The sequence below is a fragment of the Homo sapiens genome, chromosome 12 (genome assembly GCF_000001405.40).
Source record: "Homo sapiens chromosome 12, GRCh38.p14 Primary Assembly".
In the NCBI taxonomy this organism is placed as follows: Eukaryota; Metazoa; Chordata; class Mammalia; order Primates; family Hominidae; genus Homo; species Homo sapiens.
The window spans coordinates 91,359,951-91,385,765 of NC_000012.12; the positions used below are offsets into that span (position 1 = coordinate 91,359,951).

At 38.9% G+C, this 25,815-nt stretch overlaps 2 long non-coding RNA genes across 2 annotated transcripts in view, besides 2 other annotated features; one reads left to right on the top strand and one right to left on the bottom strand.

The window, feature by feature from the left end:
• LINC02823 (long intergenic non-protein coding RNA 2823) overlaps positions 1 to 8,656 on the top strand; it is a 41,681-nt gene extending 33,025 nt beyond the window's left edge. The window contains exons 3-4 of the long non-coding RNA NR_183611.1: positions 2,260 to 2,463; positions 7,981 to 8,656. This is a non-coding gene — a long non-coding RNA (long intergenic non-protein coding RNA 2823). The remainder of the gene's footprint in view (positions 1 to 2,259; positions 2,464 to 7,980) is intronic.
• Positions 1 to 25,815, bottom strand: part of LOC105369896 (uncharacterized) — a 361,170-nt gene that overhangs the window by 83,726 nt on the left and 251,629 nt on the right. Inside the window, exons 5-7 of the long non-coding RNA XR_001749251.2 lie at positions 9,923 to 9,999; positions 7,038 to 7,100; positions 5,390 to 5,724 (exon numbers count right to left, since the gene is read on the bottom strand). This is a non-coding gene — a long non-coding RNA (uncharacterized LOC105369896). The remainder of the gene's footprint in view (positions 1 to 5,389; positions 5,725 to 7,037; positions 7,101 to 9,922; positions 10,000 to 25,815) is intronic.
• Positions 20,942 to 21,775: an enhancer, noted in NCBI's record as "OCT4-NANOG-H3K27ac hESC enhancer chr12:91774669-91775502 (GRCh37/hg19 assembly coordinates)". NCBI's record gives its function as "activates a minimal SCP1, AML or CMV promoter by ChIP-STARR-seq in primed H9 embryonic stem cells {active_cell/tissue: H9 hESC(primed)}" and the evidence as "EXISTENCE:reporter gene assay evidence [ECO:0000049][PMID:30033119]".
• Positions 21,776 to 22,607: an enhancer, noted in NCBI's record as "OCT4-NANOG-H3K27ac hESC enhancer chr12:91775503-91776334 (GRCh37/hg19 assembly coordinates)". NCBI's record gives its function as "activates a minimal SCP1, AML or CMV promoter by ChIP-STARR-seq in primed H9 embryonic stem cells {active_cell/tissue: H9 hESC(primed)}" and the evidence as "EXISTENCE:reporter gene assay evidence [ECO:0000049][PMID:30033119]".

Below are 25,815 nucleotides of genomic sequence, written 5' to 3' on the forward strand. Positions count from 1 at the left end.
GCTGTTCTGTGCACACCACCTCCTGGTTTTGCTAACTTGTTCAGGAAGAGTGCTTTACAATAAATCTGGGTCAGGGTTTTTGGCCCAAATTGGCAGAAGCTATCAATTGATTCTAAATGCTAGACCCATGTCTCCACATCCAATAGATATTATTATCAGAGTCTACCTGATCTGGAATCTGTTTGTTGCAACAAACCCTTGGGGTTAGTTGTGCACAAATCTCTAATCTTCGGAACCAGAGAGATGAGGATTGTTAATGATGGAATAAATCAACTGTTATAAACAAATTCTGGCTAAACATGTGAACACTTCCTCCTTTGCATTTTGTACTCCTAATGGTCCCTCTTTGGCTGGGGGTGGGAATTCCTTAGGTTCAGCACTGCTCCTGGGTGGACTGTCACCAACCCCCTGCTTTTCTTTGTTCTCCGTGGGTCGAGTTATTTGCCTAGTCAGGCCCAATGTGAGAACCTGTATATTTCAGTTGCAGGTGCTGAATTCATGCACTACTTTCATTCACTCTCTGTGAGCGCTGTGGAACAAGGTGTCAAGGAGGAAGTGTTCACATGTTTAACCAGAATTTGTTTATAACATTTGATTTATTCCATCATATTCTTATATTGACACCAGAAATACTGCCTCTGGATTTCCACTTATTTTTACCATTCAGGAAGACTGGTTTGTTCCTGATCTCTACTTCAAGGGGGATGTAAGAGTAGAAAGGTGTGGGTAAATTTTTCAGTGTCCAGTTTGCTTTAAGATTGTGTTACAGAAATTGAACTGGGTGTATATTAACTTTCCTTTCCCCCATCACTGTAGGAAGAGTTTCCTTTACAGTATCTAGATGCAGATGAAGAGTTCTGGAGCCATGACATTTGGTGAAACTATTCACATTGCACAATGGTCAAGGCTGCATAGTAATTTTCTCCATTATCTACCTACTTCTCCAGTCACATTTAACTCCACACTACTGCTTTTCCCTCTTCCTCTTTCACTGTGCATTTTTCCCTGCTACCACAGGCCATTTGCGTGTGCTGCCCAGCCATCTGCAACACTCCTCTCACCTACTTGCTTGCCTCTGGCACTCCCTCCTCTAAACACACACATTTAGTTTGTATTCATCCTTCAGACCTCAGGTGAAGCAGCACATCTTAGAAGAAACGCTTTTTGAATCTTAAAGAGCACTCAAATCATTATAATATGCAAACTTGAACTGTCATTTCTACAAAAGTATATCTTAGCTTGAAATTTGCATACATTAATATTAATATGATTAATGTCCCTCTACCCTGTTTGGCTCTAATCACACTGACAGCAAGGAGTGGGTCTTTTATGCCAACTATTATATTACCAGCACTCAACATATGCATGGTAAATAGTAGGTGTTCAATAAATATTTTGTGACTGAATGCATGAATCTATATTTGTCCCTGGCATATAATAAGCCTTTGTCACTCTCTCTTTCACATACACACACACACACATCTTAAATAAATATATCAACTAAACAAGTTAATATATGTTAAGTGAATTTATGAAAAAATTGTTTACAATGCTGTGTGGTAGAGTGGAATGAACATGAACTTTACAGTCAGGCATTTAGGACCTAACAGCAGTTCTTCAATTAATGGCTGTCTGAGTTTGGCAAGTTATCTTACCTCTCTGAGCCTCAGTTTCCTCATCTGAGAAGAGGATAAGAGCTTTGAACTTAGTTGTCAAAGTCAAATGAGATAACGTTAAAAAACTGCCTAGCTGAGTGGTGAGTATTCCGTAAGTGCTTAATAAATGGAAGCTACTGCCATGATTGAATTTGTATTATCATTATGTTAAAGCAGGGAATAGAGGTCAGTTTAGTTGAATTACACACACAAAAAAAACAGTGCTGGCTACATAAATTGGTTCAGTAACTAGCTGTAGAATAAATGAATAAATTCATTTTGAGAATCACTTGAAATCTGTACTGTGAACAAAGTATTTTTCAAGAGTATTTTACAACAACTCAGAATCCCACCACTAGGTGTCGATAAATATACACTATAAAAACAAGACCTGGCTTCCTAGATTCTGAATCTGCCGTTAAATTTTCTTGTTAAAATATTAGAGCGCCTCAATTATTTATAAGTAAAATCATGTGTATCATCAATCAAAAGTTTCCAACTATCTAGGAGTGTCTATCAAGTAAATCAAATTTTCACACTCTTTCTTGTTTTCGTTTTCTTTCCTTTTTCTTTTCTTTTTTTTTTTTTTTTTGAAAAATACTAGGAAACACACTCGCTTCAGCCTGCACCAACCAAAATGACTGCTCAAAGGCCATTCAGCCCCTTTATCACTGTGGCTCAACTTTGATTTTCTTCCCAGTTCATCCATGATTCAGACTTCTTCTGTTTCAGGAGCTTTGCCCATGCGTTCTGCCACCTTCTGCCAGGAATTACACCTGTCCCATCCCGTCGTCTCCTGAATGTCCAGGTAAAGATTTATTTTTCCTTTGGGTCTCAAAAATGTTTTATTCTAGTCACCCTTCACTAGATATGGATTCCCTGTTACAAACTATATTAGTTTCCTGAACTTACTGTAACAAAATACCATAGACTGAATGGTTTAAACAACTAAAGTTATTTTCTCACAGTTCTAAATGATGGAAGTCCTAATGTTACCTGAAAGGGTCCCAATCCAGACCCTTAAAGAGGGTTCTTGGATCCCACTCAAGAAAGAATTCAGGGAGAGTCTGTAAAGTGAAAGCAACTTTATTAAGAAAGTAAAGGAATAAAAGAATGGCTATTCCTTAGGCAGAGCAGCCCCGAGGGCTGCTGGTTGCCCATTTTTATGGTTATTTCTTGATTATATGCTAAACAAGGGATGGATTATTTATGCCTCCTCTTTTTAGACCATATAGGGTAACTTCCTGATGTTGACATGGCATTTGTAAACTGTCCTAGTGCTGGGACATAGCATTGAGTGCTGTCATAGCATTGAGGACGACCAGAGGTCGGTCTTGTCACCATCTGTGTTTCAGCAGGTTTTAGCCAGCTTCTTTACTGCAAACTGTTTTATCAGCAAGGTCTTTATGACCTGTATCTTGTGCCGACCTCCTATCTCATCCTGTGACTTAGAATGTCTAACCATCTGGGGATGCAGTCCAGTAGGTCTCAGCCTTATTTTGCCCAGCACCTATTCAAGATGGAATTGCTGTGGTCCAAACGCCTCTGACACTAGATCAAGGTGTCAGCAGGGTTGGTTTCTTGAGGCGAAGAAAGGAGCCCTCTTACCCTGGCTTCTATGACTGTCTTCTCCTCATATCTTCACATTGTCTTTTCTCTGTACATGACTGTGTCCTAAAATCTTTTAAAAAGAACATCAATCATATTGGACCAGGGACCACCCTAACGGCCTCATTTTAATTTAGTTTTCTCTTTAAATATCCTATCTCCAAATGTAATCATATTCTGAGATGCTGGAGGTTAGTACTTTAACATCAGAACTTCAGAGGAACACATTTCAGCAAATAAAAATACACTCTCACACACCTCAAAAGTTCTCAATACTATTTACTATAACTGCAATTATTGATATGTGCAAGTCATTAACTTAATGTCTATTATGTGCCTAAAATCTATAAGTTTCCATAAGGGCAGGAACCACGTCTGTTTGGTTAAAGAGGTAACCTCAATATCCTGCAACTATGCTCAATGTCTAGTACATAGTAGGTTGTGTTTTTCTATTATTGCATTAATATCATCTTCTTTATTTTTATTTCCTACATAACTCCAATGTCTGGCACAAAGTGGCTCAGTAAATATTTAATTAAAGAAATATATTTAATAGCCAGCAGCTAAAAAGAATGCTCTGGATGCTTTTTCCTTTTTTTTAACTGACTCCTTACTCTCATTAGCATGACAGCCCACTGAAGTGGCTACATATTTGGCATCAGCAAAGAGAAGAAAGTTTCCCACAGACAGATAGGTGCATAATAGTAAATTAGCCCCAGCCCAGGTTTAACAGTTGTACTTTGGGTGGCTTGATAAGAATAAACATGTGCCAGTTTATAGAAGCGGACACCCTACAGAGCCATATTCAGTACTTTCCTTAGTCCCAGGTACTGGGGCCTCTGTTCTGGCCCGAACTGCTCCTCTGCCAGCTGCAGCCCTCTCTTACTATGAGAAGTCTGTGTGGCAAGGGTACAGGACTATCTGTAAACCACAATCCCTATTTTTCTAGATCTCTGGCCAGGTACTCAAGACTCTGATATTCCCTGCCAAAGTGGCCCTCTGCTTGCTGCTGGGGTTTGCAGAGTCTTCTTCCCCAGATTCATTCTGCTGAGGCAACCTCAGGCCCAAGAGAAAGCAGGAGATTCCTCATGGTGTGGGACAGAGCCAGATGTGGAGAAAACATAGGGGCAGGACATGCAGGGTTAGGAGCACCCTTCTGATCTCGTGGCTTTGTCCCCCCAAATATAGGGGTAGACCTGGATGTCTTTGTATATTTTATACGCTGATGTTTCACCTAACACGTTCTATTAGAACACATAGGAAAGTTTCCTAAGACACTATCCCAGGAATTCTTATGCCTCTGTAGAGTCATTGTTATTGAACATGTGCGGTGCCTGGAGCCAGACAAGCCTAAGCTTCAACATCAATTCTACCTCCACCATTTGTGTGACTTTAGACATGTCACTTAAACTTTCTGAGCTTTAGTTTCCCCAACTGAAAAAAAGGAAGTTAAATCAAATCATATGTTTATGACAAAACTTTGAGTGTGATGTTTCCTGTTGCCCTGGAATTAATTGCCAGCACCCAAGGCTGAGGATGAAAGAGGTATTATGAATCCCACATTTAAATGAGGCATCAGTGAAATATTCACCAACAATTAAGGCCAGATACCTCCCATAGGACATATGAAGAAACAGCCAAACCCTCTCTGCTACCCCCATCATCACCCAACCTCCTCCCTCAGTCTGTTTCAGTAGAGTCCTGGGAAGAGTAATATAAAAAGCATGAGGAATGCAATAAATAATATATAGTAATTGAAAAACGCATACACAGCAGAAAAGCAATAGGCGAAACACTGGCAAAAAAAAATATATGGAAAATAATAGACCTGGTATTCCTAATGAGCCATAAAGTAAATGGCAGCAATATGAAATGATTAAATATAAAACGTAATTCTTTTCAGGCTCTTGCATCTATGAAGTAAGCCTTCCTTTTTAATCATGATGGGCACGTGCACTAAGAGAAACATGGACCTGTTTTTAACCCTTGATGTTGAGAACACAGAGAAAAGGTGAAGAGATTATCAACTAACTGGGGAAAGCTATGTAAAAAGGACTAAGGAAACAATATTCAGGAAGGAGGAATACAAGAGGAATAGAAACAACTTTTTTCTCTTCTTCAAGTACCTGAAAGTGTGATCTTTTTCAGAGCTCTGTTGTATAGTCTTTTTTTTGAGACAGGGTGTCTTGCTCTGTCATCCACGCTGGAGTGCAGTGGTGCAATCACAGCTTATTGCAGGCTCGACCTCCTGGGCTCAAGTGATTCTTCCACCACAGCTTCCTGAGTAGTTAGGACTACAGGTGCACACCACCATGTCCAGCTAATTTTTGTGCGTATATTTGTATAGAGATGATGTTTCAACATGTTGCCCAGGCTGCTCTTGAACTCCTGGGCTCAAGCGATTCTCCTGCCTTGGCCTTCTGAAGTGCTGGGATTCCAGGCCTGGGCCACAGCACCCAGCCTGTATAGTTTTTGAAAAAGACAACATTGGAGGAATTGAATTTCTTTAGCAGTAGTAGGATTGAGGACAATGATATATAATTATAAACCAGAAATATAAAAGAACCTTTGCCATTATATTCTTTTGGCACTTTCTATGGGACAATTATCTATAAGCTAAAGTACAGAGCAAACTCTCTTATTACCAAGATGAATTGGCTGGAAAAATGCTCTCATTGTAAGTTGTTTGTCCAAATTAGGTAGACGGTTTACTGATCAGAAGATTGAAATAGAGCAATTCAACACCTGATGCTAGTGGAAATATTTCAGCTTTGTGTTCAAATCCTGGCTCTTACCTAGCAGCTGCACAATTTTAGGTGTCACTCGAAATTGCTGGGCCTAGTTCCTTCCCAGAAGAAAGAGAAATCACATTGTCTGCCTAGCAGACAAGTGTTGGGAGGGTAAAAAATGACTCCAAATGCAAAGGACCAAGATTGCATCTTGCAGAGTAGAAATGCTCCCTCTTTGCCAGTTATTCCTGCCTCAGTAGTTTTGAAATTCTACCCTACAAATAAAATGGGAAGTAGTACTGTGCCAATTATAGAACTTATAATATTAATAAATCTTGACATATTAGTATCTTTTATATTAAAAACAAATTTCTAATTCTTATACCTTTAAAAATTGCTGTAATTTTACTTATATATTCAAAAAAGAGGCCTATAAAAGTCCAGTTACTAGTTTTTATTTTTATTTATGTATTTATTTTGCACTACAGATAGAACAAGCCATCAAATCTAGCTTTCTCCTATTTGGAAAAAGTGAGTTCTCCTTTTAATTTGATTAATAAATAATTAAAGAGAAGAAAAATGGCTTTGTCACAGATACTCTCTTAAATTGATCAAGTGGTTACTTTTGATTAACTCAGAGGTTAATAACTGAAGGTTTTGCTTCTCTTTGTGGATGTTGGTGGTGTTGCCAAACCCAGATCCACTGCACCTGCTATGGCACCCCCCCATCAGTTGCTGAGATGACAGCTGTTCACAGCGCACACCTACCCCATCTCTGGAGAATTTCCTTCTTCAAGCCTGAGGGGTTATGTCCATCCCACCCCAGCCTTCTACAACCCACAGCTAATGACAGGCTGACAGGGAGAAAATGGTGGAGCATTTGCCTCAAGGCAGGACCCACCATGAGGTGCAATTTATGCTCCAGAGCTCTGCTCCCCATGGATTGAGGCTGAACCTCCTCTTCAGCTGAGACCACATTCCTGCTTAGCTCCTTCCCCTCCCTGTCCTATTCTCTTCTCTTTCTTCTCTTGAAGGCGCTCCTTACCTAAAACAGCTCCACCTGAATTCCTGTCACAGGTTCTGTTCCTAGGAAATCCAACCTAAGATGCTGGAGAAATGAGATGATTCGTGATCAATTTTATTTTTGTAAAACATTCTAAGAATGAAAGTTAGGATTCAGTTATAATGCAAAAAGAGAAAACACTTAAAACTCAGAGTTCTAAAACAATTTAAATTTCATTTCTGTCATTTGAAATCAGACAAATTATAAGAATTTAAAGGGAATCTTAAAATGTTGAAAGCATTCCTATTGCATTTATCACAGATCAATAATGGGATAAAACAGAAATTTGCCACATAAAACAGCCCATTAAGTTTCTCAATGTTATTAATAACGCCATTAGGGAAAAATATTTTCCCCACCTCTATACCCACCCATGCTTTTCAGCCTCTTGTTTTTTCTGTTTCCAAAGTTTAGAGAGAACAATGGTGACCTCCAGTGGCCAATAAGGCAATTTTTGGTCAAAACTCCCAAATTAAGTCACAGAGATACTGCACCCTAATGTTCATAGATTTTTTTTATAGTTTGCACAGTGTGTTAACCTCTATTGATATACTGTTAAAGATTTTAGAACTCAAATATCCTCTTTTTAATCACAAGCCTAAGGTAGAGTATCGCTTATAACACCATCCAAAGTTTTTAAAATAAACTGAGATTATTCCAAAGGAGTATGGGGTTTTAAACCCACAAATAATGAGAAAATTAAATGAGAGAAATTAAGGTTTTAACATACTAAATTACATTATTTCTAATTTCTATGGTGTTCTGTTATTGGGTGAAAATACATTTTTAAGTACCATGTTACAACTAAACATGAATAACCCATTGCTAAATACTGACCCAAAATACTACGTCTGATTTGCCTACTTTCATTTAACTGAAGAAATATGCAACTGAAACTAATGGTCTTTATTTATTTTCTTTGTAGAGACAGGGGTCTCCCCGTGTTGTCCAGAACGGTCTTGAACTCCTGGTCTTCAAGCAATCTTCCTGCCTTGGTCTCTCAAAGTGCTGGGATTACAAGTGTGAGCCACCATACCCGGTCATAGCGCTCTTATAAAATGCATCATCACATTTATTTTATAAATTCAGAAACAAAAGTCTGTATAGAGAAGTTTTGAAGTTACTAGGGACCTGAAAATCATACTGAAGATGTCTGCAACTAAAAACTCGAAGAGTTCCGAGGCTAGAGGGGTCAGGAGATGAATAAAAACGTTAGCCCCAGCTGATCACAATGAGGTTAATCACAATACTAATTAAAAATACTACAGATCCTAGGACAATGGTCAGAAGAGTGACTATACTTTCCTGTTTGCCCTTGGAAAATCGAGGGCTGACTTTTCTACGTGCTCAGATAACCTAAATTGATAGAGAGAAAGCTAGCAGAGGATAAGATAAACTAGTTAACTGTAAATAAGATTTTGCTGTTGGAGAATCTTCTTGTTGCTCTGGTTTTAGATAGCGGAGGAAGCCAAAAAATATCTGCTTTAAGTTACCAGGAGTTGAAGTTCATCCCTGCTGAAGTTAACAGGTTGCTTCCCTTTTTCTGGTGTATTCTTACTTTACTGGCAAAGAGAAAATAAATTAATACCTTATTGTTAAAAGGACTGTAGTGGGAGAAACTCTTTTATAAACTAGGTGATTTTGTATGATTTTCTGATAGAAAATATTTGATCAGTTAATTGTCTTTAGACTCCGGATTTCCACTGGCCAAATATTGTTTATCTTCTTGGAGTGCTTTGGCGGGCTTTCTTTCCTTAGGAAATGAGTTGGAAAACATCAGTGATACTTCAAAGCCATAGCTTGAGGTTATCATCTGATTTATGAAATGACTATTTCCATCATTTATCAGAACACAGAGTCCTTCCTGTGGAATTGGAATCCTAGTATGTAAATAAAATTGGGGAACTGCTGATTTTCACATCATTGTAGGAAACAACTGAACGAAAAGGTCCATACCAAAATGACAAGAGTTGGATTTTTTTTGGGCGGGGGGGGATGGAGTCTCCCTCTGTCGCCCAGGCTGGAGTGCAGTGGCATGATCTCGGTTCACTGCAACCTCCGCCTCCCGGGTTCAAGTGATTCTCCTGCCTCAGCCTCCCCGAGTAACTGGGACTATAGGAGCGCGCCACCACGCCCACATAATTTTTTTTTTTTTTTTTAATTTTTAGTAGAGACGAGGTTTCACCGTGTTGGCCAGGCTGGTCTCAAACTCTTGACCTTGGGTCAAGAGCCTTGGCCTCCCAAAGTGCTGTGATTACAGGCGTGAACCACTGCGCCTGGCCCAAAATGACAAGAGCCTTAACATCTTTGTAAGGTACGGGAGATAATTTGACGAATTTAACATTTTGGAGATTGGGAAACACAACCTGTTTTTCTTAATTTATGTTCAAGGATATACTTTACCAAATGAGGTCATTAACTGTCTCTCTAACATGTCCATAGATTTTCCCCATTTCTTAATTTTCCTTTCCCTCAACAACAGGAAGTCAGGAAAAGTGGATCTCATTCTCATGTGTCTCTGTCTTGTTATTTGAGCTTTGGAAAGTTACAGAACCTCTGTAGTCTTTAGATTTCCCACCCCTTAAATGAGAATCATAGGTCAGGAAACCTAGACATTAAAAAATAAAATAAAATAAAATAAAATAAAATTCTGATGCTGCCCTGAGAGATTCTGATGCAGGCGATATTCGTGAGCTTGGGAAATGAAGATATATATTTCTAGATAGCTGTCTAGGTGGTATCCATTATGAGCCAGTCTTTGGCACTGCTGGGTAATATTAGATGATCTCTGAGGACTTTTACAGACTTATGAATATAAAGTCTATTCTTCAGTAATAGTAAATTTTGATGTGAAATGGTTTTCTTACCTCAAGAATGTCAATTGTTCAAATGGTAACTTCCAAGTCATTATGCATATTCTTGGTAATATCAAATGTCCATTCATCTCAATGGGAAAGGAGGGAAGAAAGAATAGAAAAAAAATCAAATCAGTTAAACCTGGGTTTGGGGGACTGGCCAGACATTACACAGAATGAATTTTTGATTTTTCTTTAGTTGTGATGTTACGTAAATATTTCAATGGGGGGTCTCATCAGAATATAAATGGTATACTTAACTGAGAGTAACAAAGGAAAGTTTTACAAAAAGACTATTCTGTTCAAATATGGACAGGGTGAAAGGAAACCAGAAAGTGAAGTTGCAGTCCCCTGGGGCTAACATCAAGGAGGAGCTATTAATTACCCTCCTGAGCCTAAGGGAAAAGAGGAAGGAACCATTACCAGGATAAAGAGATTTAAGGCTGCTCAGTGAGAGCTGTTTTGGTCACGTGACAAAGCCAACCTGAAGTAATGTGACAGGAAAAAAGTCGAAGGACTGCATCCCTGGCCTTAATTTTCTCTTTTCCAGTGTGCTTTGGATGCCTAGTGCCTCCCATTGACTGATTCTAAATCTTAGGAAAGGCAAGGGCTGTGCAATGCCTATGTAAAGACAATCCCCTGAGGGCACAGAGGAAGAAGTGGAGGGACACAGAGGGATAGGAGGTAGTTAAGCTGCAAAAAGACCCAGCTCTTCCCCAGTGGTTTCAAACCTCCGCAATGTGAACATTCTTCTGTAATGTTGTTTCTTGACTTATTCACAAGAATGCTTCCTATTTAGCTCCATAACCCAGCTCAGATGACGTCTGATCTATGAAGTTGTCCTCACCCTTTGCCCACAAACCCATCTGTGTATGACCTCAAAACCAACTTTTAAAATTGCTCTTTTCATATCATGTTATAGGCCCACATCTAAATTATTATTGAATTGCCCATATTTTCAATAATCCAGGGCAAAATGTCCTTGAGGATTTGGTTGAGTCAAATTAAGGGGTCTGATAGAATAGACTGTTAATATATTTGTTTTTTGTTTTGTTTTGAGATGGAGTCTCTCTCTGTCACCTAGGCTGGAGTGCAGTGGCACGATCTCAGTTCACTGCAACCTCTGCCTCCTGGGTTCAAGCCATTCTCCTCCCTCAGCCTCCCAAATAGCTGAGATAACAGGAGCACACCACCACATCCGGCTAATTTTTGTATTTTTAGTAGAGACGTATTTTTGCCATGTTGGCCAGGGTGGTCTCGAATTCCTGACCTCAGGTGATCCGCCAACCTTGGCCTCCCAAAGTGCTGGGATTACAGGTGTAAGCCACCGTGCCTGGCCTCTATTCTTCATTTCTAACTCACCATTTTCGACCCACCTTTTTCCCAATCTCCATGAAACTTAATGTCCATGTCACTAAGTTACCCGAAATATGACAATTCTATGTAAATGAAGGATTGCTTTCTTTTCATATACCACATTTTGAGTCATGATTTCCTGTGGATCAATTACTGTTTTATGGGTAAATTCACATCTGCTGAATTTGGGAAGCCTCTACTAAATAACATTGGCAAACCATTTCTTAGAAATAATTATTTTTGATAGACATATTTGTTTTTGTGACTTGACCATTTATTTCAGATACTTTTGAATGATTTTATTTGTAAATTATGGTTAAATGATATCTTGTATGTAAAGACATTAATGTAATACCTGATTTATAAAAAAAACTGTCAACAAAAAAGCAACAATTATTATGTTTGGTAGTGCTAACAATAGCTTACACTTGTAAAACTGTAGTATTTTATGGCAATTTAATAGATATTATCTCATTTACTCCCATGAAGTAGATATTATCAGGACTTTCACATTATTGAAAAGATTGAAACTGATTACCTGCGTTTCTCAAACAAGATTACATAAGAGAAAAGCAACAGATTCCACTTTCAAATTCAAATTCCAAGTTGGAAAGCTGAATTTGAAAGTGGAATCTGTTGCTTTCCTCTTATGTGATATTGTTTTTGATTTCCAAGTCCACTGACATTTCACTATATTGTTTCTCTACGGAGCAAATGGCTTGTGTACTTCCGTGCACATGTTTTGTCCTAATATTATATTTTTTCTCACCCCTTTGAATTTATGATGCCCTAAATATGGAATCAAATTCTTCTCAGCCTCTAGAACTTAGAGAGTCCCCTGTAGGGGGTGCATGTATTGTCATGAGAAACCAGGTTATCTTCTTATATGGACCATTGTTCTAATTATACGACTCTTGAATTTTCTTGGCAGTTACTGCCTCTCTGGGTCTAAGTCTTAATTCATTACAAGGAATTGAATTTCTTCTCAATTTGGAGATCTCACTTGTTGTTGCCATCTGTTATGGCCTGAACTGTGTCCTCCCCAACCCACCAAATTCATATGTTGAAGCTCTAACCCCCAGTGCCTCAAAATGTGATTATATTTGGAGATATGGCTTTAAAGAGGTGATTAAATTAAAACGAGGCCATTAGGTTGGACTGTCTTAATCTGTTTTGACTGCTGAAACAAAAATATTATAAACTGGGTGGCTTATAAACAACAGGAATTTATGTTTCACAATTCTGGAGACTAGGAGGTCCAACATCAAGTTGCAGGTAGATTCTACGTCTGGTGACAGCTGCTTCCTGATTCATGAACGGATACCTTTTCATTGTGTCCCCACATGGTGGAAGGGAGTTGGGTGTGTTTTTGTTTGTTTGTTTGTTTGTTTTTTTGAGATAGAATTTCGCTCTTGTCACCCAGGCTGGAGTGTAGTGGCGTGATCTCGGCTCACTGCAACCTCTGCCTCCCGGATTCAAGTGGTTCTCCTGCCTCAGCCTCCCCAGTAGCTGGGATTACAGGTGCCTGCCACCACGCCCATCTAATTTTTGTATTTTTAGTAGAGATGGGGTTTCATCATGTAGGCCAGGGTGGTCTCGAACTCCTGACCTCAAGTGATCCGCCCACCTCGGCATCTCAAAGTGCTGGGATTACAGGTGTGAGCCACTGTGCCCGGCAGGAAGGGAACCTTTTTTCAGAGCACTAATCACATCCAAAAGGGCTTGCCCATTATCATACCAACGGGTTAGGATTTCAACATACAAATTTTGGAGTACATACACATTCAGTTGACTGCAAACCCCTCTCAGATGTTCAAAAGGTGATGCTGCTTTGCTCTTTTGAGTCATAGAAACATAAAGTTGTGAGAGGAAAATAAAACTTGGGACCCCCAAATCACTAAGCCAAAGGGAAAAGTCAAGCTGGGAACTGCTTAGGGCAAACTTGCCTCCCATTCTATTACTAAAAAGGAAAGCTACTAAGTTAGAAAAGCTACTTTCCTCCCTCTCAAGGAATTTCCTTGTAGACAAAGGACAGACAGAACTCAAAGTCATCCCTCTGCTCACTGAGATAATGTATATCTGATCGCCTCCTTTGGAAAGGCTGATCAGAAACTCAAAAGAATGCAACCATTTTTCTCTTACCTTCCTATGACCTGGAAGCCCCTCCCCACTTTGAATTGTCCCTCCTTTCTGGATGGAACAAATGTATATCTTACATATATTGATTGAGGTCTCATGTATCCGTAAAATAAATAAAACCAAGCTGTTTCCCAACCATGTTGGGCACATGTTGTCAGGACCTCCTGAGGTTGTGTCACAGGTGCACATCCTTAAATTTGGCAAAATAAACTACCTAAATTGACTGAGACTTGTCTCAGCTATTTAGGGTTCACAAAGTGTTGGCGAGCTAGTCAGAAAAATGGGGCTCTCTACCTGATGGTCTTGCCATTTTATGAAAGCCAAAGAAAGATATTTCAAAGAGAAGGGCTGGGGAGTCTGTGAGTCACTATTACTCTGTTTCTCAGTGGTCCGAGAGTACTAATATTTACGTAGCTGCAGCTGAGTCACTGATGTGCAGCCCACTGGGTCCCTGCATGGTGCCCCCTGCCATAATGGGTTGACAGGACCATGAGGTAGAGCTTGGGAGGGAGGCTTGGGGGCCGCAGGGCATATTAAAACTTCAATAAAATCACTCTTGTAAAGCGACTGAGCCCGAAGGTAGTACAGCTGTTTCTGTTCCTCTTGCAATATGTCAATCAGACTGCCTCGCCTGCAAAAGTACCTTTCAATTTTATTTCTTCCATCTCCTAAGCTCTGATTAGCGATTTCAAGTTTTACCAGAAGAGGAATCATGGGTCTTGGAGGCTCCCCTGTTTTACGTTTATTTTCTGACTCCCTTTTGTGTTCATTAGGTAATGATCAGTTTTCCTAATGCCTCATTTCACATTTCTTTTTTTCAGCTATACATCTTACAACATTTCCCTGAGGCAAAATAACCCTAGCCAAAATTCCTATAAAATGGTTTTGTATATATATCAAATCAGTATAAACAACATTATGATTTTAGACACTTAGCCCTTTCTAAATGAGTACTGACACTCCTGTTTATGTACCTTAAATGAGCTTTGGTACAACAGAATCCTTTTAAGCATACTCTTATTCTAAAAATTTTTCTCTGAATGTAAAGAATTCCCATTTGTATTCATTCATGTGAATAAAATGGGAATAACAACACAATTATTTGTTAAATATCTATCATGTTCCTGGTACTGTTTTAAATGCTGGGCGCACAGCAGTTGGAAAGATAAAATACTTGCCGTTGAAGAGTTTACAATTTGTTGGTAGTGAGATGAGAAAAGCCAATAGAAGTACATAGACTATTTATCTAAAGCAGTCTCTCTCAGTGTGGTCCCAGTACTGAAATCTGTATCACCCTGACCCTGCATTATGAGGAACTTGTAAAAAATGAAAGTTACTGAGCTCACCCCAAAACTTTTGTGCCAGAAACTTTGGGTTGGGACTCAGCAGCCTTTGTTTTTAACAAGCCCTCTTGTTGCTTTTGATGCATACTCAAGTTTGATTGTTTTTGTTTGTGTTTGTTTTGAGACACGGTCTTGCTCTGTCACCCAGGCTGTAGTGAAATGGTGTGATCTCCACTCACTACAACCTCTGCCTCCCAGGCTCAAGCGATCCTCCTGTCTCAGCCTCGTAAGTAGCTGGAATTACAGGTGTGTGCCACTGTACCCAGCTAATTTTTGTATTTTTTGTAGAGATGGGGTTTTGCCATGTCTCTCAGGCTGGTCTTGAACTCCTGGGCTCAGATGACTTGCCCGCCTCAGCCTCCCAAAGTGCTGGGATTACAGGAGTGAGCCACCATGTCCAGCTTTCACAATTAAGTTTGAAAACCACTGAACTACAATATAAGACTTAAGTGTTGGCTTAGTACAGGGAGACTTGTTTAAAAAGGGCTAAGAGAGTCTTGTGGGTTCAGGCAAAACTTCTCAAAGAAGTTATTTCTAAGAGGAGGATTGCAGGATTGGTAGAAATTGGCTGGGCAAAGGGAAGGCGGGTGGGCAGAAATGAGAGGATATGCTGAATCAGGCTAGAGGTGCAAAATGGCAGAGCTTATTCAGAATTCAGGAAGGGTTCAGGGAGGCTGGAACTGCCATTGGTGGAGAGTAAGGAACAGTTAACACCTCTTATCAAAGAACAGGCAAAGCCTACCATCTATCACATCTGCAGGTAACAGAACAGTAAAAGTAACAGCTGCTGTTAGCAGTGACCAGTAGGTTTTTTCCATCAGGAAGGTCTGCAAGTCAGAATAAAGTGAGTGAGGAAAGAGGCACAGTTGTGCATGTGAAGTTAGAGGGCCTTTGGAGGTCTATCCATGCAGGAAGACAGGGAGTGAGCAGGAGGGACAACCCAGATAATACTAGGATTCTCCTCAAGAGGATGATGTCTTAGTCTTATTGGGCTGCTACAACAAAACACCATAAACTGGGTGGGTTATGAACATCAGAAATGTATTTCTTATAGTCCTGGAGTCTGGGAAGCCCAAAATCAAGGCACTGGCAGATTTGGTGTCTGATGAAGGCTGTTTCCTGCTTCATGAACAGTTAGTTTTTTTACTGTGTCCTCACCTGGCAGAAGGATGAGGGATGTCTTTAGGGCTTCTATTGTAAGGGCAGTAATCCCATTCACTGGAGATTTGATCTCACCTCCCAAAGGCCCCAGCTACAAATACTCTCATCCTGGGGATTCGTTTTCAAGAACAACAAAAAAATTTTGATGACATACAAACATTCAGAGCATAGCACTAGGCCCTAATCCAATCTGATTGGTGTCCTTATGGAAGAGGAGATTAGAACATACTAGGGGACACCAGAATATGAGCACACAGAGGAGAGACCACGTGAAGACACAGAAGAAAGCAACCATCTGCAAGCTGAAGAGAGAAGTCCCAAAGAAACCAAACCTGCTGACACCTTGATATTGGACTTCTAGCTTCCAGAATTGCGAGAAGATAAATTTCTGTTGTTTGAGTCATCTCATCTATGGTACTTGATTATGGCAGCCATAGCAAAGTAAGACACCATCCTCTTGAGGATGGATTGCATTAGCCTTATGCAATTAGTATGAATGTACTAGAAGATGATGGCATCACTCGAACTGAAATCCAATTTGTGAACATACCGTCTGACTCCTGATACTTCTGCGAAATAATATTAAGTGAAGAAAGATAAAATGCTAAGAGGGGAGTTCTAAAATTGTTTGGATTAGTGGCATTAGATTTCTCTTCCAGATCCCTTATTCCTATATCTGTCCTACAAATTCTAACACAGGGTGAAAGGTTGGAGATCAACATGAATATCTTGCATTTCTCAGCCTTTAGCATAGGGAATGCCTACACATTGTATATCTTCTGTCAGAAAATGTTTCTATATCCAGTTTCCCATGTTGTCTCCTTGCCTTTTGATATTAATGACTACATTTCTAGCAAAGTTTGCAGAAAGTAGGGGATGATTTCTATGGAGATTTAGTCCCAGAGGTTAATGGGGTTGTGCATTGTGTGAAGAGTAATGCCTTTCAATGGTGACAAAGTAATGCTCAACAGCTTTCAAGCCACTGCATCCATCATCAATTTGGGCTGTGGTTTGTTACTGACATGAAGTGTAATATAGGGTCCTCCAGAAAGCATCATGATTCCGTTTCCCACGGTAACCCCAGCAGTGCATGTCAGCCAACATCTGGCTTCACAGCTGTGAAATTTACAAGAAGCCTGTGCCCATGCCTCTTTTCAAAGGTAATTTGCTGAACAGCACATACGCTCATTTGACGGACACACTGTGGCACCACAGGCACCAACCACAGGGTGATGGGTCCTACAAAATACCCAATCAGCTATTTTATTATTTTAACCAAAGGAAGTATAACATTGACATTGCAGTAAGTAAAGGATAGTACAAAACTAGACCCTGACATGGACATCAGTACTTACAGCCAAATTGGAAAACCAGCTGATTAACAAAGGACTTTTCTGAAACAAACCAAGTCATTATGCACCAAGGCAAACTACAGTGGTCATTTTAAAAACTACAGTCGACTTTTAAAGACTCCACAGAAGGCCAGAGGTGTTCCAATAGCCGCTTACCCTCCCCCCACCAAAAAAAGGGTAAGGGATTTTCGCAGCATTTTTTTCTAATAGTCCTGTATTTAAAATGGATGTTTAAAAGCATTCGTTTGTCATTCTGTCAGTTGTAAGCAACAAATCATTCTCACTGAGAAATTACAGAGGCTTTCAAGATGCATGAAAGAGAAAAGAGTTGCCACTGGAAGGAGAGGGCAGCTGTAAATAAGACCCCTTAGGCATGCAGCTGTAATGAGGACTATTCACAGTGCCACTTCATGCCTTTGCTTTCTGCTCACTTATTCCGGACATATTGCTTAAGAGCTCTGTAATCTTTGGGGTTTGAAAAATTTATAGTTATGTGACCAACACCCAGCCCCACCTCCTTCTGGATTGTTCTACATCTAACTATACTACAGATTTTCACATGATGAATGATCTTGGATGCCAATGAAAAGGAATAGTTCACTCGGATCTATAGATTCCCTTACTTTGCTAAAATAATATGCTTCTACATCAAGTTTCAAAATGGTTTGCATTTTTTTGCCCTACCTATGTTTTCCCTCAGCTTCTTTCCATATTTTTCCTTAGTGGAAAATCTATAATAATAGGTTCTGCTGTTTTATTAAAAATATAAGGGATATTTGGATTGTGTTATTTTATTCTGAGGTCTATTATTACACTTTCCAGTATTTCCTTTTGAAAACATAATTAAGTTTATTCTTATAATATAATGTAAATACAATTATTTTCTCATTTGGGGAATATATTTTAGAGTGGCTATTAGCAGTATACAATATTACTTTTATTTGTTTATAAAAGCCAGAGGAATTAAGACAGTACAAATTCCACGTTCCATTTTTAATCTTCATAGTTCTTTGTAGGTTTAGCCACATTTTCCTTCCTTATTTATTTCATAATTTGAAAAACCATAATGACATCTACTTGATCTTGAATTGCAATAAAATTTTCATTTTTGTCATAGCATTTACCTCATTTTAGATAAAATTTGACTTAGATGGTTTGGTTTTAAATTGTTGCTGTTGTTTTCATTTGTAAGCTTCATGGTAGCCTGTACACTAAAAATTACAAATATCACTTGTCCTTGCACAAAGTTACCCTCTAATTTAAATATTTTCCCTCAAACTTCCCCTTATTCTGACTTGGGATATCCTCATGTCATTAAAGATTTTGATTTCCTAAAAGGTCCTCAAAATTTTGTAGAAAAGCACTTTATTCATTACTAACCTAGTATATACACATATGATTCTAATTTTCTTCCCATGTTTTAAGGCTTTTATAGTAATATTACACAAATGGTCTGCCTAACAGCCAATCATTTCCAAGATAAAAATGGGCCAAGAGACAAATGACAGGCAATTATTAAGCCTTTTAAGGAGAAACTGTTAAGCCTAGAAGAATATTGATACAAACTGACTTTCTGCACAGTGGACTCAACAAAGCTAACATAATTCACACCAGAGATTCTCTATGGGACCATAAATTAATCAGATTGAAAAGATGGCAACCCAGAAACACAATAAATTGTTCTATGGCATAGTAAGGCACCCTCCACATTCTTATTTTCAATGGCACAATAAGACACATACACACACACCTGACAAAGAATGAATAATTTTGGAAAAAGCTGCCATGTTTTCAGTTTAATCTAAAGACAGAGAGAGAAAGAGGAGGAGGAGGAGGATCCTATATTCACTCCTAACTGCAAGTTTGGAAGAGGTATGAGGAATTTGGGAGTGAGGCAAAGAGGCCACAATGTAAGGGAGAATTGAAATACAACTCGAAAGCCTGGCATCCATGAGGTGAGAGGAGAGCAGGAGATGCCAGAGTTACCCATTACTGACTTGGCTTACTTTACAGAACACAGGAAACTGTTGCTTCTAAGAAAATATCTATTTCATCATAAAAGAATTACAGCTCTTTTGTACATATGAATTTAGCCTGTTTTAATTTTGCCTGGCATTTTGGCTTTGCAAATCTTTAGGTATGAGTGCTAAAGTGTTATTCCAACCATTTCACTCTTTCCCAGTGAATGTTAGAACAATCACCTTTCGGTTAATAAACATGCAGTTTTTTACAACTACTATCACAAGTAACAGTTTAGTGTGTAGAAAGAATCAATGGTAAATTTTGGTGTTTCCAGTAGCTCAATATCTCATTTATCCTTTAGGTATCTGGCAAGCTGTCTTTCCCTTTTCTGGTCACCACTCCTCTGGGGATGTAGCCAAGTACAAAATTGCACATTTCTCCTCCCACAAGTGTCTCAGCTCCCACAGAAAACAAAATCTACATCAAGCATGTTTAAGATGATCTACATGTGAAGTAGAAAGGTTAACACACAAGAGGAGTAACAGACTCATTTATTTATTTATTTTTACCTTCAAGGAGTTTAAATACAAACACAGAGAGAAAACTGAAAATAAGCATGATTCTAGAATTTGTATTATTGTTATATATATATTTTTTAAGTAGATAAGCATAAAACTAAGGAATTGCTCAGATGACCAAGTCTGGAGCAAAAACATCTGACACAGGAAAGTGAGAAAATAAAATGGGGGCCTTGAGTAGAAAAATTTCAATGGGTTAATTTCTGCTGGCGTTCAACATGTTATGCCATAGCAAACAAATAAGAATCATGCTGGGTCTCAATTTATCAGATTCCTTTAATTTACTAAGACTGCATATTAAACTAAATTGTTAGCAGCTGGTTGACTACCTCAACCTAACTCAACTCCTGGGAGCAATTACAGAGCTTCTCAAAATCTGTCCCTGTGTGCATCAAATTGATGTTGGAAAGAAAAAGATACCTCTTTCTAAAGTACTTTATTTCAGCCTTTCAAATTCACCTTCTGAAACCTAGGTGACATTCCTTCTAAACACTGTATACGGTATTGCTTAAGACAAGGAAAGTTTTCCCCCAAAACTATTTGTGCTCCCTTCACTCTGGTAGAATTTTTGGTAAGTTCTTTGGCCTATGCCCACCATATACTAGGCCGCCCTTGCTCACAGAAGGCCACAGCAAACCCCTTCTGCAAGCCCACGATGGAATCGTAAATCTTTACAACTTATTGAAGTCTTCCAGATTTTTAAATATGCCCATGATCCAGACTTTTTGCTTGCATGTTTAAATGGTTGCCTGATGGCTTGCAACAAGAAGTAGAAAGGCATTTTTCTTAAAATAAGCAAACAACCATGGCAAATGAGGTCATATTCCCAAGCTTGAATAATAAATATTGCTAAAATCTACAACCTGAAACATATTTTAAGAATTAGACATAGATTTGGGTTTTTTCTTTCTTTTTCAGGAAGGGGTCTCCCTTGCTGCCAATAAAAATTGCTTTGTGTTGTAAAATTTGGGTTCAGCTTGTCTCCTCCTTATATAAGCCCAGTTGAATAGACTGCTGAGGGAAAATCAAAGTTTAAGAGCCTGGCTTTTCCCGTTTGGCAACTTTCATTTCCTGATAATATCGGATAATTAACAAATTGTGTGTTTTAATGCCCTGTCTCTTGAAGCGCATTTGGGAAAAATACTTCTTGTGCCCTCTGAGTAATGGCTTAAATGGAAGAACATGCTCAAAAGAATGCTTTTTCTCAATGCATGAAACACACTCAGCATTTATTATTTTAATTGCTACACATCATGTGTATACTCGTTCGTGTAATTATATACATATTTAAAGGGCAAGAGGAAAAGATTATTTTAGGACTCTATAATTCATTATGAGCAAGGCATTGAAAATTTCTAACTCAAGATGAAAATTCATAAAAATTCTTTGGCAAAAACACCTTAGTATTCTCAATACGGTAACTGACTTTTTTTTTTTTGCGTTATGAAATAACTAGATACTACCGTGCGTTGCTTTTGGATAAAAGGGGAATGCTGTTTCTTAGCCTTTCTGTCTCTTTACTAAATGGATAATTCAGGACTGGGAAATGCAGCTCTAAGTTTGTTGTTTACGAAAAACACATGCTAATGTAACAGCGTATGAGGAATTAAAGAGAAAATGTCAAACGCGCCTTGACATCCAAAATGCATTTAGCTGTTGGCTTTTACTACAGGGCCTTTCACTCTCCAGCCGACCCCCTCCAAGACCAAGTGTTTTTGCGTGTTGGGCTAAAAATAGCCAGCCAAGCCTAACAACTAGCTTCTGATTGGCTCAGAGCAAAGGCCACTCAGCCAATAAGAGCTTCTGGGAACAAAAGCAATTCTTTTGTGTGAGATACTCAACCCACGTCAAAACAGCTTCAGGCTGTAGAAATGATTTTGGTTGAGCTTTAACAAGGTAATAATGCATTTCAGCCCTCTGAAAGGTTTGAAGCGGAACAAAGGGAGTAGTGAAATCTACAAAACAAATGGAGCGCTCAAGGCTTTCATGGGATGAATCATCCGGGTGCCTGAGCTACAAACAGTTGCAAGCTCAGAAAAGAAAAAGCGCTAGGATTTTCTTTCTTTCTTCCTGAGATTTTAACTTATTTTTCAAGCGAAAAACAAAACAAAACAAAAACAAAAAACTAACGAAAAGCCATCAAAGGCGTTGTATCTTGACTATGCCCAAATTTGTTATTATGCTTATTTGATGATGAATAAAAAGCAATTCTTCCACGGTTCCCTTAAATCTCACAAAGAGAAAACAAATGTATGTGTAGTAGATAGTAGGTAGTAAAGCTCCCGAAACTTTGGGCTTTCGTTTTTGGGCACCAAAAGCAGCCCATGTTTTCAGAGTAAAGGCAGGTCTTGATTAATGCTGTGATAGTTCTCAAGGTAAGCAAATTACAGCAGCACTTGATTGGAGAAAAGCATTGAAGTTTTGGAGGTTTTGGCCACTTTCAAGGCATTGTGCCTCTAGGGGTCGCTGTTGGACAGCGGACGAACCTCTTCAGGGCATCCTTCCCCCTTTAATAGTCACTAAAAGAAGAAGCTTAGTAGGCGCCTTTCAGGTAGAACAAAAGGGAGTGGGGAGTCAGTGTTTGAGACCCTTGAGCATGGTTTATGGTCATCACTATGGGACAAAGCATCCCATAACAATGCAGATTACTTTATATGGAAATGAAATGCCATAAAGGACAAAATGTTGCTACAGTAACCACTGAAAATGTTACATAACACATAGGAGCTCATAGGCCATTTCATGGCCTTAAACTGGCTTTATTGTATGGAAAATAATTAAAAGATGATGTGGTGCTTTATAGGCTTCCTTTTTAGGAAACAGAAGGACCCACACTTTAACCTCTCACATAGGAAACCTGTATAGGTTACCAAGTCCTGAAGTTGGCAGAGAAATACAGGTCACAAACAGACTGTTCCCATGTTCTCCTCCCAGAAAACTATGGATTCAATGTAACTTTTTCCCTTGAATATAGCTTTTATGATAAACAATTAGTAAATGAATCCTTAATTAAGCTTTATTCCTGGTGTGGCACAACAAGACCTAAGAAAATCAAACATCTCAGTAAAACTGAAACATATTTTTATTATCTGATTGGTTATAATCAAGAAGCAATATTTCTGTAACAGTTACCTGTCTAAGGAAATGCATAATCTGTCATAAAATATTGCATTCATCAATTATTGGCCCCAGCTGCATTTATGAGCCTATAATCTTTTGCCATAAAACATGGATGTTGGGGAGAGGGGCTGTAGAGAGGAGTATCATATTCATTAACCAATACTACAGAAACTAAAAGTGGTAGTAGACCCTTTTTTTTCTATTGCATTCAGTTTATAATAGTTTCCTTTGACAATAATAATTATAATAATAAAAGAAAAAGAAAAATCCACCTAGGAATTGTATTCCTAAACAACGAAATCTCCAGATGACTACGGATATGTAGTTTTCAACATGCAATATCTGGAAAGAATGTGGGTTCTGTTTCTTTGCAGTAATTCTGTGTGTTTTATAGTCTTTGCTTTATCATCCTGGCCTAGAGCCAGTTAAAGAAATTCATCACCAAATGTGCAACAACCCATGAGAGGGAGTCCAGCATTGAGTTTGGAAATAGAATGAGGTGATTGTAGAGGAAGAGGCCGAGGCTGTCAGTGATGTATTTCCCTATCTCCCTGAGCCTGTCAGCTATTGAGTTGCTCAAGTCCCAGCCCTGACACCTAGCTGCCCCTGTGCCACCATCAGGATGCCCAGTGAGAGAAGAAGAGATGGGGAAATGGAAAGAAATCATCCTGTCCCACCTGCCCATGCAGTAAAGAAGACAAGGAAGAATTTGTAGAAGCCAGGGGTGGAGAGTCTTCCCCCAGAGGAGAGAGGCTCATTGGTCATAGGCCCTAGGGCAGTGGAACCACAGCCCTGGTCCTCAGATGAATGTGGGAGAAGGCAGGATGACTCCAGAGTTGAATATTAGATGTCAGGAGCCCGCAGAAGTGAGAGATGGCTACCAGGAGATGGGACCACAGCTGGGTTCGTTCCAAACATGACCAAAGATTCCCACCTGAGACTGGTACACAAGCACTTGAGAACTGCCAGATGTCAAGGGGATCTTCTGGATAGTGAAAAAATCAGAAGTGACCATGTTAGCCAGAACATCAGCTTCTTCCCTATTTTCATGAAGATTTAAGGCTCCCAGTCTCTGGTGCTATTTTGAAAAGGCTAGAGGAATTCTTGGCAATATGGTAGAATTGAGTCTTGGAGTTAAAACTACGTTAGATTAAGATAAATAATACAAAAGCCATTTCTAACATATCTGAGATTTGCATTATACAAAAGACCATAGTTTATATTTTCTAACAACTGTGTTATTTATCACTGCATTCGTTCCTCAGTACAATCCTATAATGGAATTAGGACAGGTGTCCTGATCCATTTATGCCTAGTGTTCCATTATTGGAACGCTAAGCATCTGGGAGTTATTTATATCCTGCTGCTCAAGGTCATCACCAAGATCTGATTGCAAAAATTCAAAAAATTGCAGCTTCAGGCACAAATGGGTTAATTAGCATTAACAAAGCAAGCCCTTCTGACTTTTATGTTATTCTTCACAAAACTCTCTGGGATTTGTCATTATTATATTAAGTAAACATTTTGAAGTTTTGTAAACACTAAGTTGAGGGACTTGGCAAAGATCATTCAGGCTCTGTCTTCTGTGCTGAAACAAAATTGATAATTGAGATACTTTTCTGAGTAATTTTATTATGAAATCCTCCTCTTATCAGAAATACCTGCATCATGTTTCATTGCTAATTTTGGAAACAGAACAACAGACCTTTGAGAGAGCACTGGCTTGGAAACTAGATTTTGAGATTAACTGTTATGTAAGGACTTAGGATTTTGCTAGTTACAGGTGCCAGGGAGAAATTGGTCATAGCTAGGAAGCTAAAAAATGGAAGCCAAGCTATATAAAAGACAAGATCCCGTAGCCATGCACTAGGTAAAGGGTATGGTCATGAGGACTGGAAGCCCAGTAATTCCAAAATTAGGTGGAAGTGATTTTACAAAAAAGTCTATAATTGTGACGGTATGGATAGACAAGAAATCAAGAATCCTGAGTAGCACAGCTAGAACTGGAAATGGTAAGTAGCAAATTTATAAAGTCTAGAAAGTTAGCAGCAAATCTTGGTTATGAATGGCCTAAGTCATATGAAATCCAGATCCTCACAAAGGGAACTGAAGCACCAAAATGGAGGAGGAGTCAATATTGAGGAAATAACTACTTCCTAGGAACCTAGTGTAGAAGTGCAAACAGCTGTGGATTCTCAGTTCTAGATCAGGAATCATAAGTGAGGGGCACTCCTACCATTGTCCTTTCATTCACATTTGTCAGCCACCAGGCATCACCAGTGAAACACAGCACCCTTTTCTGTGACATCTGGAAGCGGCCTTAATATCTTTCTCAATACAGTGACCCAAGAAACCACAGGAAATCAATTGGAATTACAGTTTTGGGTGTATATTAAGCAAACAACTTAATGTAGCCTATAGGAGAATTAGAGTCACAGTTCTATAGAGTAGGGTGACTATACGTCGCACATGTCCCAGAATGTTTTTTGTTTACATCTCTTGTTACAACATAATTAATAGCACCCCATTCACTCTCAAAGGTGTCCCAAGTATGGACTATAAATTATATTGTCCTTCTGTTTATGGGGAAAATAGTCAGACATCCAAGCCCTACTTCTGACTGACCATGTAATCTTAAGGCTATGTAAAACCACTGAATCAAGTTACTGAAGAAAACAGATACCCTGTATATTTGGTACCATGGAGATCACATTTGTTTTATGCATATGCATGATCTGTTTATGGATTATGGGTCTCAAATTCCCTTCTAAGAGAAATGAATACCTACATTCAAAACTAAAAGGGAGTGATCAGTGACATAAAAAATACTCAATGTGTTTTGTGATCCTTGAGATCAGAGGCTATGAAATGAAGTAAAGAATATTTTACTTAAT